We start from the raw sequence: 14,319 nt of genomic DNA on the forward strand, positions 1-14,319 counted from the left end.
AATATGACTAGATTATTTTATTTTTGTGCTAGATGTTTTAGCCCCAAATATAAATAAATTGAAGACAATATAACAATATTTAATATTATTGCAGGTTTACTATGTAAATGCACTGGTCTAAGTACATTACATGTATATGTATATATATTCTCTCATTTAATCCTTGAAATAGCCCTAAGGGATTAGTACTACTATTTTCAGCCCATTTTGCAGGTGAAGAAATGGAGACAGAGAAAGTTTACCAAAGGTCACAAAGCTAGAAAATAATATAGCCAAGATTCTAAACCACATAATGTGATTGTGGAGACTATGCCCTGAAATGCTATTAAATACCTCTCTTGAATTTCTAGTAAACATCTAGAATACTGTTCTTGTTATAGACCTAAATGCAATATACCTAGAAAACAAAATGCCTACTGTATACATTCTAGTTCTAAATTGATTTACCCAGAATAGTTAGGTAAGCTAACCTTTCATAAAGAAAGAGTGAAACTCAAAAAAAGATAGTAACTATGTGAGGTGAAATATATGTTAATGAGTTTTACTATGGTAATTATTTCACAATGTAGATACAAATTAAAACATTACATTGGGCCAGGCATGGTGGCTCATGCCTGTAATCCCAGCACTTTGGGAGACAGAGGCAGGAGGATCACTTAAGGTCAGGAGTTCGAGACCAGCCTGGCCAACATGGTGAAACCTCGTCTCTACTAAAAATACAAAAAATTAACTGGGCGTGGTGGCGGGAGCCTGTAATCCCAGCTACTCTGGAAGCTGAGACATGAGAATCACTTGAACCTGAGCAGCAGAGGTTGCAGCAAGCTGAGATCGTGCCACTGCACTCCAGCCTGGGCGATAGAGACTCCATCTAAAAACACAAACAAACAAACAAAAAATCACATTGTACACCTTAAATATATACAATTCTGTTTGCTTGTCATAACTCCATAAAGCTGGAGAAAAAAGAGTGAGGCTACCATTGAACATGCTGTTACCCTGAGGATTGTCTTTGCCTGCAGTGAAAGAATTTAGAATATTTGTCTTTTTATAAAACCAGAAAATAACAATTTAACTGTTATTTTTGGAAGCTATAAAAATTTTCATCATATTATAGCTAGAGAATTTCTAAGTTAGAAAGATCTTTAGGGAATAGGTGGTCCAGCTCGCTACCCAATCTCTGAACTCCCTTAAAGTCAGCCTTATAAAGTGGTTATCCCACCTCTATTTAAAGAAGTCCTGGAAGAGAAAACATACTATCAGAGGCAACTCATGAGAATTCACATGCTAATTTAAAAAAAAAAATCAACCTCCTTTACTTAGGTGTGTTAAAACTGTCTCAATAGTGTATGCCTAGAATGCCTAGAGTATCAAAGTGCTGTTTTTAATCCGCTGTAAACAAGAAAGATTCTTTAGGGTTTGTATTGTAGTCATTAGTGAATAAAACGCTAATAGATGTCTGACACAGAGAAAAACTAATCATTATATTTAGATTTTGTCAAATATCAGCATGTTATTAGTCTGCACTTTTGTGTTATCACCAGTGACTGATCCCGTTAAAATGCATGTGATCACATTATTAATGTTCTTGGTCCTTTAAGCATGCTTAAGTTTTTCTAGCATAACTAACAACACCACTGAGAGAGGAAGTACATCACTATTCCTTCAAGGGTAGACTATTTTAAACACCGGTTTGTTAAATTTTAAACAGTGCTGACAATTTGGGGAGACAGGTGGTTATTTTGTTTTGTTTTGTTTTGTTTTCTCTCTCATAGGAAACAACTATGTTATTCACCGCAACAGCTGTGAAGTTGAGATTAGCCGTGTGGCCAATCGTGTTCTAGATGAGCTGGTTAGACCATTTCAAGAAATCCAGATTGATGACAATGAGTATGCTTGTTTAAAGGCAATTGTATTTTTTGATCCAGGTTGGTTTTCAAAATTCCACTAGAGAATTAATATAATAAAAATTGAACTACTTTTCAATATTAGAATATTTATTGTCTCACACTGTAATTAGGTTAAATCTGTACACTGCCTCTCTTATTCCTTTGTTAGATGCAAAAGGGCTAAGCGATCCAGTAAAAATTAAGAACATGAGGTTCCAAGTGCAGATCGGTTTGGAGGACTACATCAATGATCGGCAGTATGACTCCCGGGGGAGGTTTGGAGAGTTGCTTCTGCTCCTGCCCACACTGCAGAGCATCACGTGGCAAATGATTGAGCAAATACAGTTTGTTAAACTTTTTGGGATGGTTAAAATTGACAATCTACTTCAGGAAATGCTATTAGGTGGTGAGTACATTGAATAATTTCTACTTTATTGATTAGAATCACACTAAATATAAGTTTGACCTACTGATTTTTTTGTCCATATTTAATTCATCTACTGAAGTTGCTGTGATGCTCCTGAATTTTTTTCCTTCTGCTATGACATAATGAACTCAAGGTTTTACATTTAGAAAATTTGCAAGACCCATCAGAGAGACAAAAATACTTGAACAGATTCAAACCCCCATTCGTTTTTTTTGTTTGTTTTTTTTTTTTTTTAAGACAGAGTCTCGCTCAGTCGCCAGGCTGGAGCACAGTGGCACAATCTCGGCTCACTGCAACCTCCGACTCCCTAATTCAAGTGATTCTCCTGCTTCAGCCTCCGGAGTAGCTGGGACTACAGGCACACACCACCACGCCTGGCTAATTTTTGTATTTTTAGTAGAGACGGGGTTTCACCGTGTTGATTAGGATGGTCTTGATTTCCTGACCTTGTGATCTGCCAGCCTCGGCCTCCCAAAGTGCTGGGAATACAGGCGTGAGCCACTGCACCCAGCCTGAAACCCCCATTCTTATTAGCCTCCACCACCTCTATTCCACAGTCCCTCTGACTTAAATTTTCAGATCCTTCCAAACATGGCAAAGAGAAACAAATTTCCTGATTTTATGACCTCTTCAAATATATCATGGTTTTTCATGCCCTGATTCATTTAAAACCTCAAGGATACTGGAATTGCAATACAACCTAATACATATATATATATACTATCTTAAAAATGAACATTGTGCTCCTGAAATAATTAATTGACACAAAATAGTAGAAAGGGAAAATGATATTTCATTGTTGCAATACATGTCAGGAATAAGTTAAGAAATCATTTATTTTGCATTCCAATCTAGATTAAATTTCCTTGTAAAATCATTATATTTATTTTTAGTTTTCTGGTGCATAATTTGTTCCTAATGATATCTTTCTGAAATGAAAGTTGTTCATGCTATTACAGTGATCCCAAATACTATAAACTTGAGGTAAGTGATTCTTGGAATTGCCTTAACAACAGGCAGCGAACCTAATGATTCCAGGAAACGGCACACAAGGTCCATTATTAATACACAGCATAATATGATGCAACATTAATCTAGCCAATGTACAGTGAAAGCTGACATTGTTCTTAATATGCCAGTGGTTCTGTCAATTTATTTTTGAATTCCCAAAAAGCACTTGGCAAAAATAGCGATATTTAAGCTGTCAATCAAAACATTTGTTTCAAGGTAAACTTGCTGTTCCTGATTAAATATCACTAACACAGCATCTTTTTATCTTTTGTAGGGGCTTCCAATGATGGCAGTCATCTCCATCATCCAATGCATCCACATTTGTCTCAAGACCCATTAACTGGACAAACTATACTTTTAGGTCCCATGTCAACACTGGTTCATGCAGACCAGATCTGTAAGTTTATAGACTACTTTTCAACCAAGATATTTCTTAATTACCCAAGAAAAAGTGGAATTGTGGGAAAGAATCTATTAGTAACCAGAAATGGCAAAAACTTGGTGTAATTTCCCATCTGAGACTCAGCAGTAGAAGACTGTTATTCAGCTTGTCACTTATTCTCCCTAGACATAAGTTTGCTTCCTAAAATGAAAATGAAAGAAAAATCTTTCTACTTCATAGGTCTGGGGAGCACAAAAGAGTATACAAGTAGTCCTTGCTTTGCATGGTAGTGTGAGACCATAAAAACGACAATGCAAGCTGAAACCATGCAAGGGAATCTTAATAATCAATGGGAAAATTATTTCTTGCTTGGCACCTTCAAAAACGTTTGTCAAAATATTAAGAACTCTCTTAATGTTTATGGAGACTAAAGAAATATAATCTTTATACTTATTTTGTAGAATTCAATACAAAACATTTCAGTTGGTACACTGTAATTAAAACATTAGGAATATTGACAATCGAAGGGTTTTATTTCTCTATAAAAAAAAATTGTGAAATGCAGTTTGACCAGTTCTTGTCACCTTCTGAAACTTACATTAGGAAGTGAGGATTTTTTCTATGCCCTGATGAGTTTTACTCGTTGGGAAGTTTGGATCAGCTTTCAACATTTTATCCCTTGCATTCTCAATGTCATGGCATGTTTCTGAGAATTCATTTAATGTGAAATTTTCTTGCCGGTTTCACTTATTTTGGGACACCTTCTCCCCTTTCGACACATCCAGCTTTCTCATTTATGTGGACACGTTTTCCTTCGCTGGGTTCTTGGCTGCATATTTAGAGACTCAAACAACAGCAGCGGCAACATTCCCATGGTCAGCTACTTCTTCTGTGACTGCATTTATGTTTTATTTGTATGTCACTTCCAGCATTATCACTTTTTATTCCTTTCTGCACTTCCACTGTTGTTGGTCAATTCTAATTCAATTATTCAATTTTGTAAAATGTGATGTGAATTTACCACTAGGAAACAAGGAGGCAACACAGCCACCGTATGCAGTTTGTTTTCCATGCCTGAACTGAATAGAAGATGCTCAATGACCAATCATGGACAGACTAAAAGTTGTGACATGATCAGTCACTGATCATAAAGCACATCTGTTATTTAGGTAGCTGTTTGCAGACTGAAGAGTTGGCAGTGGGGTCTGTATTTATGAAATTGCTCACTCTTAATTGTGAGTTACCGTGGTAATTGAAACTTGAACCATGTTGTTGCCAGACTGGTGGTGTTTAACTAAGCCTTGGTAACCAGAATTCATTCACATCAGAATTGTGCAGTGAGGGCTGCTTATGAAAACTCCTTGGAATGCAAATGACCATATAAATACTATAGAGATTGTTAGTAGCTAAGTTAATCTATTATTGTAGCTTTCATGCTAATTCTATTTTTTCTAAGCTACTCTGGTGATACAAATCTCTAATTATTTGATTAAATATCTAGATTAACTGATTAATTGCTTCTGAATTTACTCTAATTAATCCCAGATTTACCTTTGATCTATTGCCTCTGAACACCAAACCTACTACTAACTCACTGAGATGACTTGAGTTATTGTGATGTAACTATTATGCATACACTTATTGCCTACTGAATTTACAATAGTCTTTAATAGCTAGCTACAGCATTTTTTTTTTCTTCCAAATGTTGTATGCAATGTAACAACAATTTACCAGTACCACCTGACTTCTAGGCATTGGTAGGGAACGTAGAAGCCATGGGACTGCGTGCTACCATGCCATCTTTTAGATACAAGCACAGGTAGATCTTTGTGTAAATAGTATCTGAAACCAAAATTATTTGAATATATGAGAAAGAGAAAGAAATGAAATTGTTAGGAAAAAATATAAATTTTAGAAAAATATGGCATAATCTTGGATTTCCAATGTACTTGAAAGACATTATTTGGGACCATCCTTGCAGAATAGATCTTACCATTTTCATTTAACAGATAATCAATAGCAGAAAGAGAGGGGCAAGCCTAATACCAAACTAGAGCGTTTATGGAGTTGTGTCTCTTAAAGATCAGTTATTCATAAACTCACAAAATAAAACACATTAACAACACAATAAACATTGTAGGAATCAACTGACAAGAGAGTTGGACAGTTCTGCTGGTGGTTGAATACTTTTTAAGGGCTAGTATTATAGTATTTTAAAAACATATTTGCTGACCCTAGTCTTTTAAAAATCACATTGTTACTTTCATTTTTATTCTTGTTCTTTCCACATACTATTTGTGGGATTTGTTTGCAAAAGAAAACTTGGCTTTACTATGCTCATTTGAAATAATTTATATTTTATGCAAAGCAGGATATTAAACACAACCAAAATTTAAATTCATGCATATTTTCTTGGTCTTTTAGAGAAGGCTACTGCAGTCTTAGATCTGGTCTAAATAGCCAGAAATAATTGTAAAAGCAGATTTTGATATTGATTTGTCATTTAAACTGCACTTAAAAATTTTGCTTCTAAGTAATTGCTAATCCATACTTAACAATAATATAAAGCTAATGTATTAATGAACACCAGGTAAAAGGAGACTGTTCTTGTTTTGTATATAATGTTTTAAAACTGTTGAGACATAAGCTATAAAGTTTACAAAGCCTCAGCCTGATCATCAAACATTTTCTGTTAGTTCTGTTTACTATGTGGAATAATACAATAACAATAAGCGTGAGTACTAAAATATTTCAAGTTTCTAAAAATTACAGAATAACTCCTGGATTATTTTATAATATGGTTAGATTTTACAATAGAAAGAACTACTATTCTAGACAATGAAGTTTTGAAACTGTAACTTTTTACATTCAATTCAATTTTTTATATTCAGTTACTTTATATTCAATTACTCAGGCTTGCTCTTTGCATCAAAGGGGATGCGACAGGCAAGCTCGATTGTAATAGAATAATTTTGAAGCAAAAAAAAAAAAGCCAGTATTTTTCAGATGCTTTTGACTACAACTTAGATTTCAGAACATTTATAAAGTATCTTAACCTTAATTTTTTATGTCATCTAATATGTCTGAATTAGTGGAATCCAAACCAAATATATTTTTATTTTATGTGAATTTTGATTATAAAAAATATAAACATTGTTTTCTAATATTTGAGAAAACTGTCCTTCTGTTAATTCTTTTCACTGCCTTTTTTTCCTGCTAGGTTTGTTAGAGAATCAAATGCTTATAAATGCTATTAGGAAAGGCAGAAAACACCTTAAAGTAACTATGAAAAAAATTTTTTAACATGACCTCTTTCTATTTAATGTTATTTGGAAAGTAAGGTGAGAGTACTCTCTAACAGTACGTCATGGGCCAATAATGCATTCTACAAATCACTATTCTGTGTAGGATATTTTAAAAACATTTCCAAATTACGCTAATGTGTATTGGTGTTATGTAGGGTTTAATGGGGTGAGGAAGACTGACTGCCACCATTAGACTCAATTCTCTGATTCTTTTTCAGCAACTCCTGAAACCCCACTCCCTTCCCCACCACAAGGCTCTGGGCAAGAACAGTACAAAATAGCTGCAAACCAAGCATCAGTCATTTCACACCAGCATCTCTCCAAACAAAAGCAATTGTGAAAATGTGTTTACTTCAGAACGGCACTACATAAATGTGAAAAGTTGTTGATCTTGAAATATCTCAGGATAGCACTTTTGGCAAACTCTTAGCCAAGGCTTCTTCATTGGTGCTGTTATAAGATGGTGTCCTATTTTCTTGTTTATACGTTCATTCTGTTTGTTATTGCTACTATGTAAAACTTTCACATGCAACCAATGTATATCTGAGTTTGAAGATGTTTATATAGGGTATTTTTTCCAACTGCCCCTGCATTGTGCCTGAACCAATTGAATCTTATGTATGAGTTTCATTTGTTTTATTAATGTTAATTTAAATCTGTAAATAATTGCTTTATTGTGATGTGATACAGAACAAAGTGTTCGTTTTTGACTGAAAATAGTAGATCAGAAATCTCAGTTTAATATAAAATGAGCTAAGTTTTTAAAAATAAATTATAAACTTGGAGATTAGAAAAATAAAGCAGTTGCTGTAGAATAGGCTGTATCTTTTTCAAGAAGAATCTCTTATGGACAGTCTGTGGTAAAGAAGCAACTCTTTGCTTTAGAGTTAAATATTCCTATCTTAAGTTTAGAAAAATACAAAAAACCATTCCAAGGATGACTGGATACTTTTTGAAATCTGACTTTCTTTGAAGATGTATGTTAAGCAAAAACATGTTGCTTTTATCAGTTAGGATACAGGGTGAACTGTAACAAAGAAACCCCTAAAACAGTGACTAAATCAAGAGAGGAATCTATTTCTTTCTCCTGAAACAATTTAGAAAATAGTTATCCATTGACTAGAAATTAGTACATGCCCACAGCTGGCTCCCACGGTAGCCAGGAGAATTATCTATAGGTGGAAAGTCTGTGTCAGCCAAAGCCATGTCACTCTGAGAGAACTGATTCTGAGGACAAGTTAGCCATCTACCACCCATGTCCCTTATTTGGTCCTCACAATAACACTTTAGGAGAGATATCATTATCGCTGTTTTATAAATAAGGGAAACTTTAGCTTGAGGGTTTAAGGAACATAACCAAAGTTCACAAACATAACGAGTGAGAGAAACACATTCAAGCCCAGGTCTAGTTGACTTTAATGAATCTTTGGTGTGGAATGAAAAATGTGAACTTCTTACTCATAGTGTGGTTTTTAAATATATGCAGTTGAGTGATGATTGGATACTATTCATCATATTGCCTATAATATATATTTACCGATAAGCAGTGAGTGTAAAATTGTTGTAGCTTGAATAAGAAACCACTTTTGTAGTTTTAACCAGACTTTCTCTTAAAAACATTAGATAAAATAAAAGATTCACCGGATGGATTCTGATGAAAACGAAAACAAAGTAAAATGACTGGCTTAGCAGATTCTTTGAAATGTAGCAGCCCAGGGATGTACCAAATGTCGAATTCTAGACTGAGGAGTAGAGTTCATTGGAGTCTTAAACTCTCTGATATCACTTAAAGCTGGAGTTTATTTTAAAACAAATGAAGCATGGGCCACCTCATGATGCAGTGGCTCCTCTCTGGTTGAGGAGAGGGAAAATTGGAAAAACTGGTCGAGTAATTATCAATAATTTTTTTTAAAAAGAGGATCCCAAACTGTAAAAGATTGAAATAATCTTTCTCAGGATTTTTTAAATGTCTAAGATTATGATGTCATATCTCCCACTTACCTTATAAGTAAAAAGGTTAATATCAAGTAACTTATTAGCTCTTAAAGTAAAATTGAACTTATTAAAAGCTATCTATGATTTAATAGATTTAATAAAATTCCTTCACGACCTGGTACCCTTGTGAAACTGTAAAATATATCATATGGGGGGAGTTTTTTAACTCTTATTTTTTGAAAATTTACTGTAGCTTCTATTTCGTGAATAAGAATGTTTTGATTTTGATCATACAAATAACTTTTGTAGATTTTTGTTTACTTTTGGGGGGGTTCCCTTAGAAGACATTAAAAAAAAATACTGCCTTGGTCTGTGCAGGCTGCTGTAATGAAATACTATGAACTTGGCAGCTTATAAACAACAGAAATTTATTTCTCGCTGTTCTCAATGGTGGGAAGTCCAAGATTAAGGGATCAACAAATTAGGCCTCTGGATCATACATGGCATTTTCTAGCTGTGTCCTTATACATAAAAGGAAAAAGGTAGCTCTCTCGAGTCTCTTTAATAAAGATACTAATTCTCATGACTGAATCACCCTCCAAAGGCCCCACCTCCTAATACCATCACTCTGGGGACTAGGTGTCAGCATGTGAATTTTGGAAAACACAAAAATTCAGAACATAGCAAATACCTTTGAAGTATAAAAGATAAAATTCATTTTTAGTGAACCCTGTAATTTATTCGTGTATATTTACTAAACAGCTGTATCTTTGAAATTGTTAGTAATGATTCTGCTTCAATAACTATGGTCAGGGAATTTATAATATTATATTTTTATATACTGAACTGCCATAGATGCTGGAAAAAAGGAACTGATGTTTTCAGCATATTTTCAAAATATTGATAAGGGAAGTTATTACTTTTATATAGTATTCAACTTTTTTCAGGTAATAGAAGTGAATAATTTATTGTGAAATAATTCATTTTATAAATGTATAATTATTTTTATAAATTTTATTGTTGGAAATCAAAAATTAGTAGATTTTTTACCATGTTAAATTATAGTGAGATTAAAGTATTACTAAACTGTGATGCTATGTTTGTTTCACTAAACTTTCTAAATAAAAACTGAGAAAAAAAAAATCACTGAAACCAGGTGCTTCATTAGTGTTCAAAAATGATTTCGTGTTTTTACAGATGCTGATAATATATTTTATATAGTCATTTGTATTAGTCCATTTTCACACTACAATAAAGAACGATCTGAGACTGGGTAATTTGTAAAGAAAGGAGGTTTAATTGACTCACAGTTTTGCATGGCTAGAGAGGCTTCAGGAAACTTATAATCATGGTGAAAGGAGAAGCAAGCACCTTCTTCACAGGCAGCAGGAGAGAGAGAAAGCGAGAGGGGAACTGCCAAATGCTTTTAAACCATCAGCTCTTGTGAGAACTCACTATCACAAGAACAGCATGGGGAAAATTGCCCCCATGATCCAACCACTTCCCACCAGGTCCCTCCCTAGATGTATGGAGATTACAATTTGATTTGAGATTTGGGTGGGGACAGAGAGCCAAACCATATCATTCTGTACTTGGCCCCTCCCAAATCTCATGTCCTTCTTACATTTCAAAACCAATTATGCCTTCACAACAATTCCCCAAAATCTTAACTTAGTTACTTCCAAGATACAATGGGGATATAGGCATTGGGTAAACGTTCTCATTCCAAATGGGAGAAATTGGCCATAACAAAGGGGCCCCATGCAAGTCCAAAACCAGGCAGGGTACTCATTAAATCTTGAAGCTCCAAAATAATCTCCTTTAACTCCATGTCTCATGACCAGGGCACACTGATGCAAGATGTGGGCCCCCAAGGCCTTGGGCAGCTCTGCCCCTGTGGCTCTGTAGGGTACAGCCCCTACACAGCTGCTTTCAAGGACTGGCTCCGAGTGTTTGTGGCTTTCCCAGGTGCACGGTACAAACTGTCAGTGGATCTGTTATTCTGGGGTCTGGAGAACAGTGGTCCTCTTCTCACAGCCCCACTAGGCAGGGCCCCAGTGGGAACTCTGTGTGGGGGCTCCAACCCCACATTCCTTCTCTGCATTGCCCTAGTAGAAGTTCTCCATGCGGGCTCTGCTCCGGCAGCAGATTTCTGCTTGGACATTCAGGTGTTTCCGGACATCCTCTGAAATCTAGGCAGAGGCTCCCAAAGCTCAGCTATTGTCTTCTGTGCACCCACAGGCCCAACACCACATGGAAACCACTAAGGCTTGAGGCTTGCACCCCCTGAAGCAATGGCTTGAGCTGTGAGCTGTACCTTTTAGCCATGGCTGGAGCTGGAGTGGATGGGACACAGGGCACCATGTCCTGAGCCTGAACAGAGCAGCAGCACCCTAGGCCTGGCCCACAAAACCATTTATTTTTCCCCCTAGGCCTCCAGGCCTGGGATGGGAGGTGCTGCTGTGAAGATCTCTGAAATGCCCTGGAGACATTTTCCTCATAGTCTTGGCTAGTAACATTCAACTTCTCTTTATTTATGCTAATTTCTGCAGTCAATCACTTGAATTTCTCTCAAGAAAATTTTTTTTTTTCTACCACATGGCCAGGCTGCAAATTTTCCAAGCTTTTATGCTCTGCTTCACTTTTAAACAAAAGTTTCAGTTTCAGATAATCTCTTTGTGAATGCATATCACTGTATGCATTCGGAAAAGAAAAAAAAGGCACATCTTGAACATTTTGCTGCATAGAAATTTCTTCTGTCAGATACCCTCAATCATCTCTCTCAAGTTCAAAGTTCCACAGATCTCTAAGGCAGGGACAAAATGCTGCCAGTCTCTTTGCTAAAGCATAGCAAGAACTTTGCTCCAGTTCCCAACAAGTTCCTCATCTCCTTCTGAGACCACCTCAGCCTGGACTTCATTGTCCATATCACCATCAGCATTTTGGTCAAAACCATTCAATAAGTCTTTCGGAAGTGCCAAACTTTCCCACATCTTCCTGTCTTCTTCTGATCCCTCCTAACTGTTCCAACCTCTGCCTGTTACCCAGTTCTAAAGTCCATTCCACATTTTCAGGTTATCTTTATAGCAGTGCCCCACTCCCAGTACCAAATTTTCTGTATTAGCCCATTTTCACATTGCTATAGAGAACTACCTGAAACTGGGTAATTTATCAAGAAATGAGTTGTAACTGACTCACAGTTTTGCATGACTCGGAGGGCTCAGGAAACTTACAATTATGGCAGAAGGTGAAGGAGAAGCAAGCACTTTCTTCACAGGGCAGCAAGAGAGAGAGAGAGCACAAGGCAGGGGAATTTCCAAACACTTTTAAGCCATCAGATCTTGTGAGAACTGTGAAAGGAAAATATCTTGGGCCCCCAAAATCTCTAAGGAAAACTCAAGCTGGAAACTGCTTATGGCAAACCTGCCTCCCATTTTATTCAAATTTATCCCTCTGCTCACCAAAATGGATGCATATCTGATTGCCTTTTTGGAAAGGCTAATCAAAAACTCAAAAGAATGCAACTGCTTGTGTCTCACCTATCTGTGACCTGAAAGCTCCCTTTCCCCTTCTAGTCTTCCTGCCCTTGCTTCAAGATGTCCCGCCTTTCAAAACTGAACCAATGTACTTCTTACATGTTGATTGATGTCTCATGTCTCCCTAAAATGTATAAAACCAAGCTGTTCCCCGACCTCCCTGGGCACATATCATCACACGGACGTGTCCTCAACCTTGGCAAAATAAACTTCCTAAATTAACTGAGACCTGTCTCAGATTTTCTGGGTTCACATAACTCAATCACTATCACAAGAATATCATGGAGGAAGCCGTCCCCATGATCCAATCACCTCCCACCAGGTCCCCCCCTCGACATGTGGGGATTACAATTAAGAGATGAGATTTGGTTGGGGATACAGAGCCAAATCATATCATCATTTAATTAAATTTATACGTTAACGCTTGTCTTTAGAGTCCAAAGCAAAATTAATTAGCACATCTCCAAATAAACCACTGGACACTGATTGAAAAGGGAATCCTTACATTTGTACTTTAGTTATGTAGTTTTTCTTGCTACCTAGTGTTGTCATAGTAATAAAAATATATGCCCTAAGTTGGCTTAAACATTATATGAATATACTTTTGATATATAAATATTTAACCTAGATCCTTCAATTTTCTGGTACCCTCTGTTGATGTTTAAAGCTTCTTTGTAAAATGTCTTAAATTATAAGGACCTGTTAATCTTATACTTATGAAATTCTAAGTTTAATTTTGTTTTTACTCATATTAAGGTAATACGTGTACATCATTTAAAAAGACAAATTACACTTAAGGCCTACAATGAAACCTGGAGCTCTCCTTCTTACCATTCATCTCTTATCCAAGTTCACTTCTGCAGCAACAACATTCAAATACTATATCGGTTTTTTTCTCTATAATCTGAAAACATATTTAAATCTCATTTATTTATTTATTTTCATTTTAGACATTACTTGCTGTCTTTCTACTATGAAAGCAGATGTTTTTAGCACATTTACTTTCATACAGATAACCCCCATGTTTTCCCAATTTCTTAATGAATCTGTATTTTTATTACATTAGTAGGCACTATTTAAATAATTTCAAACAATTTTTTAAAATATTTAACAGATAATTTTTATATCTCAGTGGAGAGTAGAAGAGATATAACCTAATTTTACAGAGAAAAATGAGAAGGAAGGCTTTGCTCTGGGTCATATTTGGAATATGACACAGAATTTTAGAAAAGAATGTATTAATAATATGGTTTATTATAACACTATATGTGAGTGCAATTTGACATCCTTTTCAATGTGGCTGTTTGAGCAGATAGGTTTTTTTGTTTTTTGAGACAGTCTTGCTCTGTTGCCCAGACTGGAGTGCAGTGGTGCAATCAGGGCTCTTTGTAGCCTCGATCTTCCAGGCTCAAGGGATCCTCTCCCCTCAGCCTCCTGAGTAGCTGGCACTGCAGGCGTAAGCCATCCCACCTGGCTATTTTTGAATTTTTTGTAGAGACAGGATCTCCCTACTTTGGCCATGCTTCAGCTGATACTTGAGCTTATGCTTGAGGTGATGCACTGATTTTCCTTGAGGCAGACAAGCTGATAGGGGCAGGGGAGGGACAGGGCCACAGCAATTTCCCTGCCTTATTGGACTGTGAAACAGGATTACCCAACAGCCAGCTCTCAACAGGAGCCTTGTCACTGGTAATTATTGGACAATGGATAGCTCCTGGAACAAAGTAGTAGTGAAATTATTTAAATTTTCACCTATAATGAACTGTAATGGTATATTGGTGAAAGAAAATGTACTAGTGGGTGCAATATATCAGGAGTTAAGAAAAATGAGGGAAAT

The 14,319-nt window shown here is 36.1% G+C and overlaps 1 protein-coding gene across 9 annotated transcripts in view, besides 1 other annotated feature; it reads left to right on the forward strand.

The window, feature by feature from the left end:
- Positions 1 to 10,089, forward strand: part of HNF4G (hepatocyte nuclear factor 4 gamma) — a 159,186-nt gene extending 149,097 nt beyond the window's left edge. For all 9 annotated transcript variants that reach the window (XM_017013373.2, NM_001330561.2, XM_017013374.2 and 6 more), the window contains 4 exons: positions 1,773 to 1,925; positions 2,056 to 2,292; positions 3,599 to 3,721; positions 7,230 to 10,089. In XM_017013373.2, the coding sequence (XP_016868862.1) occupies positions 1,773 to 1,925; positions 2,056 to 2,292; positions 3,599 to 3,721; positions 7,230 to 7,351 (635 nt within the window). In that variant the 3' untranslated portion in view covers positions 7,352 to 10,089. The remainder of the gene's footprint in view (positions 1 to 1,772; positions 1,926 to 2,055; positions 2,293 to 3,598; positions 3,722 to 7,229) is intronic.
- Positions 3,831 to 4,040: an enhancer, noted in NCBI's record as "active region_27543". NCBI's record gives its function as "activates an Ori minimal core promoter by ATAC-STARR-seq in GM12878 lymphoblastoid cells {active_cell/tissue: GM12878}" and the evidence as "EXISTENCE:reporter gene assay evidence [ECO:0000049][PMID:35858748]".
- Positions 10,090 to 14,319: the final 4,230 nt, after the last annotated feature.

The sequence above is a fragment of the Homo sapiens genome, chromosome 8 (assembly GCF_000001405.40).
Source record: "Homo sapiens chromosome 8, GRCh38.p14 Primary Assembly".
NCBI lineage: Eukaryota > Metazoa > Chordata > Mammalia > Primates > Hominidae > Homo > Homo sapiens.